Consider the following 20682-nt stretch of genomic DNA (forward strand, 5'->3'; position numbering starts at 1 on the left):
ACCACGGGTGACTCTGGGTAACTGAGACCTCAGGAAGTGAAACCTCAGATAAAGGTGGGTAGGGGAACTGCTGAAGCATTTACGTCACTTTGATTTTCTAGCAATCCTGCGAAACAGGTATTTAGTGGCCATTTTACTAATAAGAAAACTAAGCCTCAGTATTAAAGTTTACACAACTAGAAAGTGATAGATGTGAGGTCACGTTGCTCTGTCTTCAATTTGGTTTATAGAGAAGCACACGTCTTATGAAATGCACTTTCCTTATTTCAGTAATTTTAAGAGGTACAAGATAGTGACACATAATAAGCTTTCAATAGTATATATTGAGTGGATAATAGAAGTTTCAGAAATTTCCACCTTAATTTTACAGCAAAGTCCAAAGACTGGTCTTGCCCCTCCCATGGGGGGCTGGCATGTCCTCTAGTAGAGGTGAGTGTGGAAACTTTCTATCCTTCTGAGATTGAGATTTGTGAAAATGAGGTAGGGAAGATGGGATGGCCCGTTTACTTTCCATTCCTCATTATATTTTGACTTTTTCTTCTAGAGTTGGTTTTACTAAGTGGATACCATTTGAGCACCATATTAGCCAATATCCTGGGATGATTAAAAAGATACTGTAATTGAGAAAAAAGAAGGAATTTTTTGTATTCATTTTCTCTCATTCCTATCCTTACTATAGTTTAAATGTGGTCATCAAAGAGACACCAAAATGAAGTTCAAGAATGTACAGGAAGGCAGTGGTGTAAAATTAGTTGGAAAATAACTGTCACTAAAATGTCAGAAGTGAGTCTTAAAGTACCACTCATCCCACTGAGTCCACCAATGGGTCAAATTGAAAGAGAAACCCATCTGAGGGTGGTGGCTTTAGGAGCTCATCTTATGGGAATGAGGCTGTGTCTCAACAGTTTAGAATTATGTGATCTTGGTAATGAATTATGAAGAATTGCCTTTGCAGGATTCTGCAGGTGAAGAAACTGAGTCCCACAGAGGTGGGATGACCTGGGCAAAGGTGCACAATCATGTCAGTCTGCCTTTCCATGCACGTTATTGTGCACTAGTATTTTCTCTTTTTTCTTCTTATTTTTGTATTTTTTCTCTACTTTTTTGTTTTGTTTCTTGAAGAAAATTCAACACAGCCCAACAGGAAAGTTTTACCTGGCAGATCCCAGACCAGGCTGAGATTCCTCACATAGCAGGGATGCATTGCCATCCCCACAAACATTGAGAATTCTGCATTTTTATTGGCTCGTGAGGTGGCAGTGATAGCATGTAATGAATTGGTAAAATGTTTGAATGGCCTTATTTTCTTATAGCTGATGAACTCTGGGCAGGTACGTAGTTTAAGCATAGGGAAGGATTTTACATCATGACTTCCAGAGCTTTTACTGAATACAGAAAAATATTAGCATTCTTAGTTGTGTCACTGGTTTCTCCAGATATTGTAAAATTTCCACATGTAGACAGAAACTATTGGCTTGCTTGTCTTCCTTGCAGACCAGCTACAGTGTGTATTCAACAAGTTAAAACCTGGTGGGCTTCTTAACTAGGGAAAGTGTGTACATTTATCCAAGGTGAAATAAGGTTGCCATTAATTTTCTGATTTACAGGGTGATTAAATGAAAAAAAAAAAAAAGGATAGAAACAATTGCAAGCAGATTGGGAAAATGTTCTTTATCCTTTCCAGAATATTTCTGATTTTTATTATCATTAACATCTGAGCATTTCAATATAGGTCATATGTTTTAACAAACAGCTTAAACTGAATACATTTTTTAAAACTCTCACTTGTGAGTATTGACTAAGTAAATTTTACTCATTGTGGTAATGGTGAGAAAGCAACCTGGTTATGATCAAGTTGTCAGCATTTCATTCATTTAAAAACCCCAATATGGCCAGGAGACGTTTCCCTCCTCCCCACTCCCCGCTGCCCATCCTCACTGGATTGGATTATTCTCCCTATAGAGGGAGACTCCTCAGGCATAAGCTCACATTTAGATGCTGAAAGACAATATTCTATCTAGACTATTTCTCATCTTTACATCCAGATTTATTTTCTTCAACATTCTATATTAGTTTGAATGCCTCTGGATATATCAGCAGAACACAATCCTATAATAAATTTTGTTTTGGGAATAAAAATATCCAACAATGCCCTTATCTTTTAAAGCTTCCCAGATTCAAATTTGATTTTTTTTTTTTAAGTTTGGGTTTAGTTAAAATAAAACGAAACAAACCACACAGGCTTAAAAGAATCCCAGATAACTTTGGCTGATAGAACTTGTCATGCTAGAGCTGACTGTTTTGTTTTTGGCAGATAATCCTCAAGAAAAAAGCAGAGGATGGGGCACAGTGTGAGTTTACTGCTGGATGGAGTTATTTATTATTGGGGCATTTTGTTTGAAAACACAACTGTTTTTTAAGGGACAAAGGTGCATAGCTCCTTACATAATTATCTATTTTTATATCATGTTATAAATTGGAAGTATGTACCCCTTTTATTCATTTATTTCAAGAAATGCATATGAAATACTACTTGTTGGAAATTGTGTGATGTTCAGGAACAGTGAGGATGACTGAGACTTAGTCCGTACCCTGAAATAAAGAGATTGAAAGATAAGTGAGCTTGGTAATCAGTCAGCCAATACTCATTGAGCATGGTCTGTGCTGCCCACTCGACTAAGTTTGGGGGACATAGCAGCGAGCCAGCTGGGCATGGTCTCTGCTGTCATGAAGCTTGGGACAGAGAAGCCACCATTAAACACAGAAACAGGTGTGCTGAGTCCCAAGCAGGACAGGAACATGGCCCTGTAGGTTGGATATAGGGACATTTTGTTGGGGGAGCCAGAGAAGGGATTACTAAGGAAGAATTATTGACTCTGATTTCTGAAGTAAGAGTTATAGTCAGGGCTAAGATCAGGAGTTAGGGGGTGGTGAGTATTTCAGGCAGAGGGAATGGCTTGCACCAGGGAAGTGAGGTGGGAAAGAGTGGGTTTATCTAGGAAGCATGGAAAGTTGGGTGTGCCCAAAGGAGTAAGAGTGAGTGAGAGAGAGAGATGGGGGCCTCTTTAGAGCTGAGTTCCCTCCTGGAGGGACCTGCGTCTGCAGATTGCAAATGAGCATTGCAGTCAGCTGCTGCATTCGCTACCTAAGCAAACAAACCAACAGACCACAACATCAAGGCTCAGGATAGCTCAGTCTAAGTTCATCACCTCAAGGGATTTGGTATTATACCTCAAAGCTTTTTAGTTCATTTTACAAGCATGTACCAAAATAAAGCCAGTGCTAATGAAATACCAGCCTCTGATATCTGGCTCAGGGTTCCGCTGTTTTCAGATTTTTTTAGGTGGTCTACACTTTAGTCACATTTTGGCCCCTCTTTAGTTCTTTCAGCAAACCAGGTGTTTTGAGATTGCTCAAGCTTTTATAAACAGGGGTTGGAAAAAGTCCAGAAATGACGCACATCTCCTTGCAGGAGGTGGAAAAAGTGATAAACAAAAGTGATTATCAGTGTGTAAGAGTGAATTTGTGTGTGTGTGTGTGGAGGGGGGGAACCTCAAAAACCAAACCCTCAGAGACGTAGGTCATTTTGGAAGTCTTTCCCAGGTTGAGCAATAGAATCTGTATCAGAGCTCAGTGTAGTAATTAGGTTTGGGTTTATTTACAGAGGGAGATAACAATTTTGGGAGGAATCAGTGTGACTTAAGATTTTTCAGATGAAAACAGCACACCCATATATCCACATCATCTGCAGCTATCATCTTATTTTACTCTCCTCCCATTCCCTAAAGAAAAAATAAATAAAGCACATTCTCTGGATCTTTTGGATTACATGCTAGGTATAATTAATATGTCTGTTGAGTTTCCCACGTGGGTGGCACTGTATAACAGTTCAGGAAAAAATGTTTCTTTCAACACTTTGAACATCATCAGTCATTTGATTCAACTTTTTTTGCACGTCTTTTTTTTGAGTTTTAATAAAACATTTTAAGCACTACTGAACGTATTTGGGGGGTGATGTTGTTCACAGGTATCTCTCTTAATTTTTCTGAACCATACATATTAGTGAGATTTGCAATGCTTAAATGTCTATAGAGTGTAATGCTCTGTCTCCTAAGCTGCAACTCTCCAAAGTAAATACATATGCATTCTCTTGTGAAGTTTGTGCTTTCATTTGTTTGACTCATTTCATTCTTTGACTCAACCCAGAATAAGTACCCTTTACATAGTTTGGGAATTGATAGTTTCATTCATTATATTTACCTTTGCTGAGTATTTACTGGTCAGAAGTCATTGATTCTCAGGCAGTCTAGGCTATAAGATAATGCCGTTGCCACAAATTGGAAAAAAAAGGTGATGACAAACCAAATAGGCTAAAAATACAGTTCACTTGGACAGGTAAAACAAACAACCTGGAGGGTTAATGGAAAGCACGCATGCTGTGGGGCTCCAGATCCTGGCTTACTCCTTATTATCTTTTTGCCCTTAAGTGAGTCATTAACCTGTGCTGAGTGTTGTTTTTTTTTTTCAACTATAAATGGATATAATACATACTATAAAGATTGTTGAGAGGACTGGCAATATGCATATACATGACAAGGCACCTGATAAATGGCAGTTATTCTTGTCCTTAATAGTAATGATAACATACATCATGCATGGCCAAATCTCCTCCTCCTCAGAGCTCTCACCTTCAGAGAGTGAACTAATAAGAGCATGGTAGCAAAGTATTGCCCTGAGGCCCAGCTGGACTTCAAATTAAACAAGAATTGGAGTTGGAAAGCTACTAAAATAAAAGCAAGCAAAATCTGGGAGCAGTAGGTGAGTTGCACAGGAAGATACATTTAGTTGCATGTATGGATGGCTTTTCTAATGAATGGGAACATTCTAGAAAGAATGTGGCTGCCTCATGAGGCCTGTGTTCCTGGTCTAAATGATTCCCAGCAGAAGCTGATTGACATTTGGCTCACACTGATGCCAGGGAGATTTTCCCTTTGGGTGGAAATGTGGATGAATAATTTAAAATGGTTTCTCTGACTCTAAGATTCTGTGAGTCTATGGCAGGATGAATTTGTGGTGGTGGTATGGAAGGACAGGAAGACCTTTGAATCCAGCATCAGGAAGAATTACTCCCAGTGACATTTATTCTGTTCTGAAACACTCTGTTCTCATGGATTTGGAAGAAAGTAGTAGTCGAGATTCATTTATCCTGTAGTTTAGAGTCACACATTCTGTAGAGTTGGCAAGGTCCACAAAAGTCATCAGATCCAACCTTGTACTCACTTTCAGAATCTCCTGATCCATCATGAAAGGTAGCATTGAGTTGGCTCAATTGCTTCCAGGGACAGAAAACTTAGCAAGCTTGGCCTCAGAGCTCCTGAAACCAGTGCCCTGCAGATGCCAAGCACAACCGTACTCGATATTCCAGTCTTGTGTGTGTCATTTTGCATTTTTTGAAAATTTATATTTTCTAAAACCTTTCTGGTCTTCGTTTGTGGCTCTCACCTGCCTCTTACTTTGACCGTGTCTCTTGAACCTTTCGGGAAATGGCTGGCCTCATCAGGAGGGTTGACTAAACCTGTTAAGTGGCCTCTTGCCATTTCTTCACAAACTTCCTTACCCTTTCTCTCTCTTCTAATGGTTTTAGAATCAACAGTCCTAGCTTGGCCCTATGGACGTCCACAAAAGCATATCTTCATCTTGGGACTTTCATGTATCTCTTTAAGAACTTTAGAAGAGAGAATGGAAATTCCTCTCTCCCTTTCTGTCTTGTCTTCCCTCTAACTTTCAATAGTTTTGCATTATATGGAAGTATACTATTGAATTACATAGTTTTGACTGTGATGAATGAATGCATGGATGAATAAGTATTTTTTTTCAATGGGTGATACCATTTTTATTCCTCCAGGCAAATTAAAAAGAGGAGAAAAACCCCTCAATGTACATGTGTAAAAAGACTTCGAGATTATTTCTCAAAAGTTGTTGAAACCTTTTTTAGGTTTGGATTTGCTAAACAACAGGGTGCGAATTCAAACACAGGCAGGAACATTTCCCTGACTTCTTTAAAAAAAATGCTTTGAGATGTTATGTGATATGCACCAGCACTTCAGAAAAATCCTGCCAAGGAAGCCCTGATTGACTGCAGTGGTGTTAGGCCGCTCTCTGCTTGTCGGGTTGCCTGATTGAGAACTGGCCCTAGTAGACTGCTATGCACCAAAATAGTCTGTTCTAACGGAAGACCTCTGTTTGCCACTGGCACATAAACAGGAGAGAGGGTGAGATGCCAGCTTCGATTGTCAAATGTGGTGGGGCCTGTGGAAAGAATTAACTTCCTTGGAGTTCACGTTTTGCAAGATTGAGCCATCCAGCACACGAGGGAAACAAGAAGAGCCACGTGGGAGTGCAAAGGCTCCAATTGCCAGCCACGTCGCTTCTAAATGTGAACGCTCTGGTTGAGTAGGACAAGGCGGCAAGTTGAGTGAGTCTGAACATTTAGGAGAGACAGCCTGATGTGGAGGGAGAAACGGGACACCAAGGCCAAGCCAATTACCCACCCAGGCAGAGGGAAGGTGACTCGAGACCCCTGCCTGCCTTTTGGGGGGTGTTATGGGGATCAAATGAGATTATGACTACAGAATCATTTTGGGATCTTTCTTTGAATTTTAAACTAATGAAATCATATTCTTCCCCTTAGGGAGGGGATAAAATCAATAAATGAATAGTTTTCATTTTCCTAGAATGGTTCAAAATTCGGCTTGAGATTCTACCATGTTCTTTCAGTTCTCACACCTTAACTGATCTCTCACATAACTGCCCATCAAATGTATCATGCTGATCCATCCATCCTATGCCTGGATTAAGGTCCATCAAACCCTTTAATTTGAATTCCCATTAACTTTAAAAAGATAAATTCTATAAATGTTTGTAATATCTAAAAATTTCAAGGTGCTTAGGTTACTAGAGATCACTTTGGAAAATCATATTTCCCTATCTCCTCCCAAAATACCCAAAAGATTATCTTTTCAGCTGCTGATACATCTGGCCATGGCAGTGCATTTTGAGGATGCTAGAGCATCTCACAGACATCTCAATGATGTTAAGATCATAGGTACTGTTTTCAAATAGGGTAGCTGGTTTTCTCTACTCCATGATTAGAGGCCATACCTTTAAACCCCCAACCAGGCAGCTGCCTAATTTGTAAGTGAATGCCTCTGCAAAGATCAGGCCATGAGAAAGAACATGAGAACACAGTCATTCACTGAGCAGATGTATTGAGCCACTCTTAGGTGCCAGGCAGTCTGTTAGGTCCCTCCCCTCGCTTGGCTTAGAGACTAGAGGTAGAGACAGGCATTCCATAAGTAACTACTAGTGTGATGAATGTCATAAGGAGAAAATGCATGGCTCAGTATACGTCCATCAACTGTGTTTGAAAAAGAAGCCATCAATATCTGCATTCTTTTCATGTGTATTTATTATTAGTTATAATATGTTTACATATTAATAATCCATGCATATGCATTATTATATTGGTTATTCATAATACATTATTTTACTTCTGTCTTCTTATAGCCCTGAGACTATTACTGTAAAGAGCAAGAATTTTGTGCTGCTCCGGGAAAGAGAGTAATCAGATACCATTTAACTCATTGGTAATTGTTGCTTATCAGTCCTCCTTTTAAAAAAAAAAAAGAAAAAAAAACGACCCTGCTGTAGCTGGGTGCTATTTTATTTTAGTCATCTTCATCCACGGTAGACTGTGTTGAAACAATGCCAGACTGAACATTGATACCAGGTGCCTGTCCTAGCAGAATCCAATATCACACCTGCAGATAGAGTGTAAGATTACGTCATGTGTCGTGCCCGAGCACCACAAATGACTCTATACTTCATCTCAAATAACATTATAATTTACACTTGGAGCCTTCAGACTATGTAGCCTTGGCCAAATGAAAGTTTTTGCAGCCAAACACATCAAACTCAATATATTTCACTGCGCCAGTGGGATTGTTTTTTTGAGAAAGTTGAACATAATTAAATCTATCAATGGCATTTCAAATAAAAAGTACCTGTCTTGGATAGGTAGGCTTATAAACATTTGGCTGTCAGTTAGGAAGATGTCACAGAGTTTTGTGCTGGAAACCAAAGAAAAATGAAAGAACTCTAGTGTGTTATGTGAATTGAATAAGAGTTCACCAATGAAAGGAGGAACAATGAGATCTTTTGTTTTACAGAAATGTCATAGTTATAAAGGTATACATTTAAACTTGGAGAATCACTTCAGGCAAAAATGAAAACCCTCCCAACTCAAACATTTTCCCAGCTCCAGGACATAATCTACAGTAATCTCTGAACTTTTGGAAATATTGTGTGGATATTTCAACACCTACTCACCTTGTCCATTCTAATTGTCACCTTTGCACTTTGGTGCCTGATAGGCTTCTCTTAGAGAGCAGGCATCGTCACCTGCTCACACTTTGATCCACTGGCTGGAAAGCAGCTGCTCTTCTTTGTTCGGAAAACCATTGCTAATGTTTATATGAATAGAGGAAGGGAAGAATGTCCTCATTCCTGTTCTTCCCCTACCACCTTCTTCAAAGGACCAGAGGAGCTTTCCACCTGGCTATTGGGTGCCTCTGACTTTTGGGTTCATTTTATCGTTCTCATATCTATGGAATTGCCCCAGCATCTTGAATCTTTCAGACAGGCTTATTTATGTTTAAGACAGGCCAATAATCTCTGTGGTCTTGAGTCTGATTGTAGGGGAGCCAGAGATCTTTGTCACTCCAATAAAAGTAACTCCCTCTTAACTCTGCCTTTGTTTTGTAGTATTGCCATGGTAGTTGAGGACTGTCTTAGAATCCTGCATTTCCTGTGCCTTGTCGCATGGGTGCAGGATGTAGAACACAGGAAGTGAGGATGTTGATTGTAGTCTATATAGGATTGTGTAACAAGGGTTCCAGGACACTTTGAAGGGCCTGGATTATTTGGAGGAAGATTGTCCTGGGAGGAGGTTGGAAAACAACTATAGGAGAAATGTGAAAGCACAGAATAGAAACTTGATTTTTATCACTCTTCTGTGTGCTATGACCACAAGCTACTGGGGAAACCGTTTTATTGTACAGCAATGAATACATCAGATAATATGGAGACATGTATGTAGAGGAAGCAGCATGCATCTTCTCACCAGGTCTTTGTCATCAATTTTTAATTGAACAATGCTTTTCTATGAAATTATTTTCATTGATCTCATATCAGGGAACAAAATGTACTGGGCAGCTTCTCCATGGTAACAAACAACCCCCAAGTCTCTGTGGTTTCCAAGAGTGTTCATTGCTTGCCATTTCATGTTGGTGACTGCAGTTGATGGTAGGAGCCACAGTTCCGCTTGGGTCTGTTGGCTCTGCACTAAGCATCTTCTCATCCTTGCCTAGGCTAAAGACACAATATTTACTGGGGAAAAGCCATGCTGGTAGAAAAAGACAAATGTAAGAAATCTGGGAGAAACATGCAGTACCTCGGCACACAATCTCCCTTTACTCCCACTCCCTCAGTCTGATAAAGCCACACGGCCAGGCTGTACAATGGCATGGGGAGTTGTATTTTGCCGACAGGGAGGCACTGCCAGCTACACGCCAGCAGGCAGGATGTGTGACATCTTATGGGAGGGAAATGAATAGAGGGATCAATAATTCAGGTTGTCATAGCATGTCTGTTCTCATGTGGTTTCTTGCCCAACTTTAAAGAAATCCCAAGTAAATTCAGCTTTAGAGATGTTCAGAGTATTAGTGCATGGAAAGCCACACAGCCTCATACAGTTCTTGAATATGTATCCATACCTCTTTCTAGTCTACACACTGAGTGCCAATTAACATTTCCCAGGGTGCTATTTGTCATTGGTACTTTTATTTTTATTTTTTCTTATTTTTGAGACCAAGTCTCGCTCTGTCACCCAGGCTGGGGTGCAGTGGTGTGATCTCGGCTCACTGCAAGCTCTGCCTCCCGGGTTCATGCCATTCTCCTGCCTCAGCCTCCCGAGTAGCTGGGACTACAGGCGCCCGCCACGACGCCTGGCTAATTTTTTGTATTTTTAGTAGAGATGGGGTTTCACCGTGTTAGTCAGGATGGTCTCGATCTCCTGGCCTCGTGATCCACCCACCTCAGCCTCCCAAAGTGCTGGAATTACAGGCGTGAGCCACCACGCCCGGCTACTTTTATTTTTTTTTAACTGTCAGGTGAAATTCAACTAAGAGCTAAACTGAACTGAAGGAAATGTGTTTTCCTACATTTATTTTCTTTTGAGTTTAAATTTTACTTAACTATTAAATTTATGATGATGTGTTCATATTTTCTTCAAAGTGGACTCTATATAAACAGTTAAGAAATTAACTATCAAAATTATTCACACAGTTATTCGCAAGTAGTGACAGTAATTTATGTGTAGCTTTTATCCCAAAGGATGTTCTAAGGTTGCTTAGCTCCTCTGTTAATCAGTTCCCTAACACCCTAAGCCATTAGGTCATTAAAGAGCTCTTGGCACTTTACCTAAAGGCTTCAGGGTGTTAATCCTGGTTTCCTGATCAGAATCCAAGTAGGGTAATGACTTTGTGACTTTTTAAATTATTCCTGCAATTTTGGTCAAACAGGATGTTCTTCTTGCTCTCTGTCCCATGTGGTTTCACTAAGTGGCTCGCTTGTTAGAGAGATGTGCCTCTTCCATTGCAAATGAAGTGAGGATGATTTAAAAGCATTTATAACAGCTTCTGAGCTGCAGTGATGTGCTGAACTCTGTCATGAACCTAGATGTGGTTTCTCCCCTAATGGAGACCCTAAATGCCACCAAACACAGGTGTTCACCTTCTTTTCTATGATTCACTTGGATGCATTTTCCCTGGGTGAGCTCAGCTCACAGAAGATGACCGGGAGAAGGCACTTTCCGATCCTGCCTCTGAATGACGAGCACAGAGGCTCTGAGCAGCCTACCTGGGGGGTCTCCTCTCCAGCTGATCAGAGAGATTTCCTACAATCTCTCCTGGAAAGATTGGTGAAACTAAAGCTTATGGAGAAACAATTTTGGATGCTCACCAAATAGTAAACATTTTCTTGTTTTTTGAATATTTAAGGGCACATTTTATTATTTATAAGTTAAAGTATATCTCACTAATAATAGAGCCTATTTAGAAAAATGTGTATTATCTGCACACATTTTTAACAGCACAAATAACTTGAATTCTATTTTTCTCATTAATAGGCTATTTTGACTTGTACAGAAATTTAAATAAAAAACAACTGAATGGATGCTTAGTGTGTATGTATTTGATTTCATAAGAATCACGAGTTTCCAGCATTTTCACCAATAAAGTTCACTTTTGTTAGTTTTTGCTCTATTTATTCTAGATCAGAAGGATTTTTGCCTCCCAAATGGAGTGTATTAAGTAACAGTTAATTTGCTTGTTTAGTTTTCCCTTTTTAACATCAAAGGCATAAACAGCTAGTATCAGTTATTGAGCATTTCGGCTCACTATTAGACTGCTGGCTCCTTGAGGGCAGAAATAATGTCTTATTTTTCTCCTTAGTGCTGAGCACAGCAGCTAATACATTATATAGATGCTCTCTGAGCATCATGGAGGGAGGCGGGGAAGGACAGAGGAAGGAAAAAAAGAAGGAAAGGAAGGGAAGGAAGGCAAAAAAGAAAAGGAAGAAAAGAAGGAAGGACAGAAAGAAAAGAAGGACAAAGAAGTATAGCAAGGAAGGAGAGAAAGAGGAAACAGTGAATTATTGTCTTGAGTAGATACAATCCCAGCCCCAAACAGAGCAACTAGGTGTCTGACTTACCACTGGAGACTTCTGGGGGTGTGTGTGCGAGTGCGTTTCACCTGTTATAGATTGGCGGTGTCCTTAGCTGTGTTTAGTGAAACCTTTACTAGTTTTATTCATTTACTGCTGCAGTCGGAATACTGCCTTTGCTCTGTGTCTGTGTGCTTCTCCCTTCCAGCCAGATCAACTTGTTTGTGTCCATGTGAACGTCAGGAAATGGCTTTGAAAGGCTCTAGAGAGTAGCTGAAGTGCATTGTGATTAAATGTTAATAACCATAATGAACAATACTGTTAACTAATTAATTACTAACTCTCAAAAAGGGCTACAAATCAACCATTAAACAAGTAAAGTCATTATTTTTGTCAGAAGCCCTCAACATTCCACTGAGTTAGGGTCAGTGACTCCATATAGCAAATTAAGTCAGTTTCATAGGCAATCAGTTTATTCATTATCATTTTATTTATGATCAGTTTCTTTTGTAGTAGAGAGCAGCATTAAATATGCTGTTGTCACTTGACTGAGATTTTCTTTGTAAGCTAAGGAGAACACCTTATTTAGTTTTTCAGACTAAAACTATTGCAGCCACCTTCTGTGGAGGAGAGCCTGGGTAGGTGGGTGGGCAGGGGAGGTTGAGTGCTCCTTTTACCAGGCGCTGAAATGTGCTCTAACTGCACATGGAGAAGAATTGTGGTCCCACTTCCTGAACTCTCTACTAGAGATTCAGCTCCACAGCAGAAGAGGCTGGCATACAGCTCAGATGGGTGTCTTTGCCAGGCTCCTCAATGGACAGAAAGGCGGCAGTCACAGCTGCCACCTTAAGATGTTGCTTTCAGTTGAGAGCAGTTTCATCCTGTTATGACCAACAACATGAGATCCATGTGATCCAGAAGCGTATCAGTGAACAAAACCCAAATGTCCTGATCAAGACATACATATCTAGAGTTTGGTTGAGACAAATGATGAGCCTGGAGGAGGGCATAGAATATCCTTTCATTCTCCTGAGGATATTTACACTAGGCTAGATCTTCTAAACCACTTTTTCCCAAATTGCATTATGGGATATTTATAAAAAGTGGAGCCCACTATTTTCCAAATATTTGACCAAAGAACTCTTTTTTTGGCGGGGAGTGGTGGTGGTAGGAGAGCTGCATTACTTTGTCTCCTGCCAAGTTGATTGTATGGAATTCTGCTTTGGAGTGGAGCCCTTGGCACATGCTCAGAGCAGCTTAGGAGAAAGACTGATGAAACTTTTTGGTGTTTGTTGCACAAATACTAAGAATCTGGTTCATTTCTCAATTCATGTCTTTTTTATGGGGTTGATAGGAGGATTTCGCCCTTCCTCAGTGCTGGAAATAGTTGTTTTAACTTAGAAACCGTTTTAATGTTACGATCTCTCACAACTGTGCAGCTGATTGGCTCCCTATGTGAGTGGGCCGATGTGAGGCTATAGACAGAAAGTCCTTTCCCCTTGAGTGAAGCCGAGGCGGTCAGTGAAATTGCAAAGGTATAAAAAAGTGCAAGAATCTGGAATGCTGTCTGGATTGTCCAAGTGGATTCGGAGAGGGAGGTCATGACCCAAGTGGAATATCTTCAATGGAACAACTGCGGGGATGGAGATGGGGCAGCAGGAAGAAGGCCGAGAAGGGGAAACAGCTGGACAAAGTGTCTCAAAGGAAGGGTTTTTATGTGAGGCTAAAAAAGGTTGAGGAATAATTTTCTGAAACTGGTTACAAAGACTAGAGGCATCTTTCACTTCCTGTGAATCCTGTGAACTTGGAGCAGGGTGGGACCCCCTGCTGCCGCTAATGGAAGAAGGTAGCAGGATCCACCTCTCCTCTTCCGCTGACAGCCTCCCTCCCTGCTCAGTGCCTCGAGCTGGTGAACTCCCCTCCGTCCTGTGCACCTCCCGCTTTTGCTCCTCACACATCCCACCGGTCCTGTATATGTGGGGTCTCCAGCCTCCTCCTTCTGTGTGATTAGCACCTCCACCTTGGTTCAAGGCTTTATCCATCATCTCTTCACTGGATTATTGCAACAACTGCAAGAACCTCCAACCTAATCTCACTGTAGCTTCTCCCCGAATCCACCAGCCTCACACTGTTGCCATAGTGATCCTTCTGAAACGTGGACTTTGCTTTGCTGATGCCCCACGCTGAGCCTGTACTGCCCAGAAGAAAATGTTTCAGCTCCTGAGTGGGCATAGAAGGCCTCCTTGGGCCCATACCTAGTGGCTGGGATCTCACTCCCTTCTCTTGCCACTCCTCCCCCAGCCTCTACCTCAGGCACACCTCATCTCACTGTTCCTCCACTCTTGGCCTCCTGACCCAGGCCCACCCTTTCTTCCACTAATAGGAAAGCTCCTCTCTCCTTCTTCATGAAGCCTGCTCTTTCTTCCCTCTCACCTCACTCCATTCATGCTGTGAGTTTAGCCCTTGCTGTCTTCTTCCTGGGGCTGTCCCTTTCACTAAAGCAAACTCCCCAAGGGCAGGGAATGAATATGATCCATGTTCTTACTTCCTAGCCTAATCTGATATATAGCACTTCTGGTGATAAACATATAAACACTTGAAAGGAGGCATGTCCCTAGTTAATCAAGTTACTTTACATTTAAAGAAGAAATCAGTGATTGAGGTAGGACCTTAAAGGCTCACTCTTAAACTCACCCTAAGAACTCAGCCACTTCTGAATGGGACACCCATTGTATACCTGGTTCCACAGTAGACAGCACAGAGGCCCTGGAAAGGAGAATGGAAGATATTTTATGCATCAGTTTCTATGTGGTGGTGTAGCAAAAACAGTTAATTGACTTCCAGTATCTGGCCTCCTTTTCAGCTCTAGTACTAGAAGTTCTAGACCCCAGTTAAAAAGGATGTTTTCTAGCCTTTTTTATACTGAGCTGTGGCCACTGTTCTGGCCCATGGAGTGTGAGTAGATGTGACATGGGCAAATTCCCAATAAAAGGAGCATGGTTTCTCCTCCTCATCTTCCTCTTTCTGTGGGCTTCAGTGGGGTAGGTAGAGCCCATGTTTGGCCAGAATAGAAGCCTGGGAATATGCAGAGAGATACGACTGAAGTAGACTGAGTGTTCCTGTGTGGCCTACTGCAATAATCCATTGACAGATGGTGGGTAAAGACTTGGACTCAGGCAAGAGTGATGATATTAAGGACCTAGACTCTTCCTACTGTTTCCTGACAACCAGGGCACTCTCTCCCTTGCAGTGCTGACATCTGGGTTTTTACTGTCTTGTTTAAACCACTCTGTAATGTTTTGGGGTATCTTTGTTACAGCAGCTCACCATATATTCTTAATCAGTACCAATGGGCTCAGGTATTATTAAGGTTAGTCAGTAGGCATTTTTAACAAATACAGGTTGCTGTATAAAAAGATGCCAACTTACTTTATTGGCATAAGAAAAGACTCACTGTGTAGTCTAAAACTCATAATTTCAATCATTTTCTCCTGTGACCTACCTTCCCCACAGGGGGCCACTAACATTAGCCATTATTCTGGCCTCCCCTTTACTATGTTAATCTAGGCATAGACAATTTTCTAATATGCAGCTCAAACCAGGTTTTAACAGTTAACAAGGTTTTGCTAAATATTCAGGATAATAGAAAGAGTAATTTGTATAATGAGTAATATACAACTTGCCATTAGGTATGATTCTTCTCAAACCCTCAAGCAAAAACCCACCTCATAGGGTTCCCTGCAAGGAATCTTATGATGAGCTCTGAGCTCCTTATGGCAGAGGCCATCTCATCTCTCCTACCCCCTACCCAGAAGTACTCCAGAACACATCTAGATTGGGAGAAGTTGAGGCCCAAGAGGGAGTTTGAGATCAATTTCCAGCCTAAAACCACCCTGGAAGAGTCAGCTTCTGCTTTCAGCTTCTTCTCTTCCCAGGAGATGACTGGCCTTCGCTGTCACGGAGGAACAGCCCTATGTTTACAGGCCCAGAAGATAGAGCAACACCATATGGGGTCATCAGAGCAGGGTCTTCCCACTGCTAGTGGATTTAATTCTCCCACTTTCACAGATGAGTAAATGAGGATCAGAAAGTTAAAACAACTTATCCTATGTTACATGGCTTCTAAGCTTCAGGGTCAGGATTTGAACCCAGTGTGTATGGGAGGGCTTTTCAAATGCCCACCCAGTGGCTTGCACCAAGCTGGCTGCCCAGACCCTTGAGGGAGCTTGTTAAAATAGTGATCGGTTCCTGATCCTACCTTTGAAAATATCTTTTAAGTGGTTTTGGGATGAGTTTTTAAGGCTTTTTATTAATAAACTACTCTGGCAATTCCAATACACTGCAATATTTAGAGACAGTTCCTTTTTACCAAACAGGGCATGTTAGCCTCAGACATTTTTTCAGTCTTTTTCCTTTTGCCAACTCATCCTGTTTCCCCCATGTAAAACAAATGATTCAAGATGAGAGCAATATGTCTCAAAATGGAACAATTCAATATTAGTTGAGACAATGCTTTGGCGGTTATTTGTATGAATATATTACTATTACAGCTATAATCTCCCCCAAAGTTTGATGGGTGTATTTCCACCCATCCGTTACTACTTATTGAATGAAGCTTTGCAGCCAAGCCTGATGGGGAATGTCATAGATGAATAAGCCTCTCTTCAGATTGCCCGAGCTGTCTACAAGGGAGACCAAAGTACACCCATGAAACAATTCAAAAGTAATAAAAAACGTGGGTGGGGTGCCATGGTTTATGCCTACAATCCCAGCACTCTGGGAGGCTGAGGTAGGAAGATTGCTTGAGCCCAGGAGTTTGAGACCAGCCTGAGCAATCTGGCAAAACCCCATCTCTACAAGAACCAGCTAGGCATGGTGGACCACACCTGTAGTCCCAGCTATTTGAGAGGCTGAGGTGGGAAGATTGCTTGAGCCCGGGAGGCAGGAGTTGCAGTGAGCCATGACCTCACCACTGCACTCCAGCCTCGGGGACAGTGAGACCCTGTCTCAAAAAACAAAACAAAAACAAATATCCAAGTAGAAAATACATATTGAGTTGTGGCAACAGGTACTAGGTGGAGTAGAAACAGAAGTGAAGAATTACACCAAGTGAGCAGGAGAAGAACAGGTGGCTTCATAAAAAAGAAAATGCTTAAATTAAATCTGGAAGCATGATTTAGGTTAGGAAAGTCAGACGCAGGATGGAAATTCATGTAGTAGGCATGGGCTAAGCAAAGGTACACTCTGTCATAAGCAACCCAAGGTACTAAGGATACTGTTCTCTACAATAGGTGTAATTTTTCTGAGCTGTTAAAAATATAACTGGGAAGATAAACAGAAACTCCAAGAATATCTTATCTGCGTTGATCCACCAGTGTGTGTCTGTGACGGAGGCCTGAATTGTATGCTGCCATGTGGGTGGCCAGAGAGAAGGTGAGCCTACGGTGGAGAGCAGTCCTGTGGTAGGATGACAGGGAGGATGGAAGCAGCACTGGAGACCTGGGAGAACTGGGATGCCTGTTTGGAGAGAGGGTGTGGCGTTGGGCAGGTAGGTAGAGGGAAGGTCTCTGTTCAGCAGCATAGCACAGCACAGGGGACACGACCCAGAACTAGGGCCATGTGCTATGAACTGATGGGCAGCTCTAATTACTTTTCTAAATTTTGGGCCCAGTGACATTTTCTTTCCTGCCCCATGGGTCAGGTTGGTTTTAGAAGTGAGACATTTATTTTATTCTCCTTCAAAAACAAACTTTACATCATTGATCTGCCACTAAAAAATGTTTGTGTAAAATTCCTGCCTCGAAGCCAGTGCCTGTGACTCAGATGGCGTGCATTTCAAAAGTCTCTCAACATAATTTCACATAAAAAAGAAACATCTTACGTTGGGCCAACTCTGCTGAAACCAACTGCCTTGTATCACTAATATGTAGCTGGATTGATTCATGATGTACATCTTCAAAGACCTGGATAATCATCTTTGTTTGCAAATTCCTTATTAACATGGAGATAAATGCTATCATAAATTTGAACTTTTATATTATGAGCTGAATTTTTTGGTCTTTAAAATTTATTTCCAGAATATTCGATAGCATGACTCTAAGGCTGGATGGCTCTTTCCCAACTGGACACGGTTTGAGATTTTTTTGTCTCCTTTTTCTTCATGCGAGATGATAAACACTTAATAAGAAGATGGAACTTATGGAAAGTAGCCAGAAGAAAATAGCATTCTACCGATGGAATTCCACTTCAGATGCTGTGCTGGAAAGAAATCCTCATCCTGGGCTCCTTTTGCCTTTTGATGATGGCTTTAAAAACTGTGAAAACAGCGAAAGCCAAGTGTGTGGTCTTCAGCAATTTCGTAATAGTCTGTGCAGGAGACAGAGGGGGCGGTGGTTTGCTGGAAAAAATGATTAACTTTTTCTTTACGATGACAGAAAACAGTTGCAATTCAAAAATGCCGAGGTTTCTGCAGCCCTCCCTTTTGGCAAATTGTTAGGTAATCACTTCTTCCAGGTGGCACTTTCAATAAAGACCTTGGAAAGTCACGCCCCTTCCAGAGATGTCCTCAGGGCAGAGCCATTGTCAACTGGGAGAAACTTGTAGAATGAGTGAGGGCAGGGTTAGAGGAAAGGCTCTAAATTTTTCTTGTTGGGGGTAGCGGGGTAGATTTGCTGTTGATTTCCCAGAGTGGGTTCCCATGCCTCAGTCTTGGTCTAATGCGCGTTACAGTCTGCCTCTCAGCTTCTCCAGCAGAACCAAGGGAACCCTCCTCACATCCTATGATTATATTTGTTATTATTTACTTTAAGTTATCCCAGGAAGCAGCAGGCCCACCCTAATTGAGAGGTCTGTCCACATACAAGTCAGCTTAGTAAAACAGGTTCTAATTAAGTAATTACCTTGATTAAAATATACCAACCATTTTTACTTTTTAATAAACATTTCCCAAGACTGGATTTTATCCTGTTATTTTGGTAGAAATTTGTTTAACCTGGTGTGGAACTGGAACCCAGAGCTAACACTGTCCACCTGTGGATATGTGTGGTTTCCCTTATTTGTAACATGGAGTAGAAACATAGCAGATGCTCTGCAAGGTGCAGGAAAAGCCAGGTGCATCTATCAGGTCAATTCAAAGTTCCTTTTTGAGTACAGTGCTGGACTTAGGTCATGTAGAGGCATAAAAGCCAATTTAACTGTGCACAGTCCAGTAAGGGACAGACATTTGCAAAAGTATATCAATACATGATGCAAATGTTAAGCTAGAGTTACGCACAGGTGCTCTAGATAATTGTGACATTTGAAGGCATGTATTTTGACTACATTGGTCATTCCTGTGGTAAACTGACAAGGATTGAGCCCTGCTGAGGTACATGGTCCTTGCAGACACTTGAGTCCTGGATAGTATGCAAGTAGATAAAAGAGAATCCCTGTGACTCTACCCCAGTGACTCTACCCCAAGTCGTCAAGATGTGGGCATCACCTGACTCCATCTGGTCAGCCTCCTAGCAGAGGAGGCCCTTTTCTGTTGCTGAATTTACAACTGCTTCATGCCCATTGGCTCCTTGGAAATTCAATCCCAATTCATCTAAAACTCCTCAGGGTCAAAATAGTTCCTGAAAATGAATTTTGCTGAAGCTTGCTTTTGGGTGCCTGTGACTTCAAATCCTTATCCTCTGCATCTTCAAGATTCTGGTCTGGTTACTTAGGCAAATTTCTCAGTAGCTCTGGAAAATTCGCAACGATTTAAACCATTTTTTTTCTTTAGCCTCTCTGGGACCTATGACTCTTTGCATGTTGAGGTTTTGAATTCCTTTGCATGACAAATTCTCTGGTGGTTACAACAGAGAAGAAGGAAGAGAGGTGATCAGGGTCTCATGAGGAAAACCATACCTAGATAGTTTGCTCAAAGAGAGTGCTGTTAATTCAAAGAGGCTGGTCTTCCTGAGAGATTCCTTAACCCAAGGCAATTCAAAAGTTGGTGTTTGAGTGTGCGAGAGAGGCCCCATGTTATGAAGGCATGTCAGAAAAATGATTATGGCTGGGTATTAACTTGAGATCTAGGCTGTGAAAGAACAGTAGGTTTTTTTTTTTTTTTTCTTTGAGATGGAGTCTTGCTCTGTTGCCTTGGTGTGATCTGGGCTCACTGCCACCTTCACCTCCCAGGTTCAAGCAGTTCTCCTTGCCTCAGCCTCCTGAGTAGCTGGGATTACAGGCCCGCCCACCACAATGCCTGGCTAATTTTTGTATTTTTTAGTAGAGACAGGGTTTTGCCATGTTGGCCAGGCTGACCTTGAACTCCTGACCTCAGGTGATCTGTCCATCTTGGCCTCCCAAAATGTTCAGATTACAGGCCTGGCCAAGCACAGTAGATTTGTGACTTGCCTTTCATACATGGGAGGGTGACTAAGGGAAGGAGGCATGGGGGTGGAGAGAGGATGGTGCTGGAGGGAAGGTGGGCAGGTGGATAGAGTCATTTAAGACATGCAAGGAGCCCCTTGGCACTTAAGAGAAAAGGTGCCACACATCCCGAAAGCCTGGAGCAGGGGCACACTGTCTTTGGAATGTATTTTCGTTGACTAGATTAATCTGCTTTCAATTAGAGTATTTATAGACTACTTCCCCCACAAAGGCCTCCATGATTGATCCCAGCAACAGTATACTTTTGGCCTTTGAAACTTTTTTGAAGTTTTCTTGCTATACCTACCATACTGTAGCTAGTTTTATAGTAATGCACATAGTCTTTGAGCTACAGCCTCAGCTCGTTGGTGGGGCCCATGTCAGTTTTCTCCTAGGGTCTCCCATAATTCCTCAATATAGTCCTTGTAAGAAGTGCCCCATACATGTTTTTTGACTTGAGCCCTTGCCCATTCCTGGGAGTCCAGGATCCAGGCCAGACAGTGG

General features: G+C 41.6%; 1 long non-coding RNA gene across 3 annotated transcripts in view, besides 1 other annotated feature; it reads left to right on the forward strand.

Annotated features, from left to right (window-relative positions):
- LOC105370108 (uncharacterized) overlaps positions 1 to 20682 on the forward strand; it is a 114586-nt gene that overhangs the window by 32812 nt on the left and 61092 nt on the right. For 2 of the 3 annotated variants that reach the window (XR_007063716.1, XR_007063715.1), the window contains one exon: positions 1 to 20682. This exon is cut by the window's right edge and continues 21024 nt beyond it. This is a non-coding gene — a long non-coding RNA (uncharacterized LOC105370108). The other variant, XR_001749777.2, reaches the window with a different exon arrangement.
- Positions 6961 to 7512: an enhancer, noted in NCBI's record as "NANOG hESC enhancer chr13:22654882-22655433 (GRCh37/hg19 assembly coordinates)". NCBI's record gives its function as "activates a minimal SCP1, AML or CMV promoter by ChIP-STARR-seq in primed H9 embryonic stem cells {active_cell/tissue: H9 hESC(primed)}" and the evidence as "EXISTENCE:reporter gene assay evidence [ECO:0000049][PMID:30033119]".

Source organism: Homo sapiens, chromosome 13 (assembly GCF_000001405.40).
Source record: "Homo sapiens chromosome 13, GRCh38.p14 Primary Assembly".
Classification (NCBI taxonomy): Eukaryota; Metazoa; Chordata; class Mammalia; order Primates; family Hominidae; genus Homo; species Homo sapiens.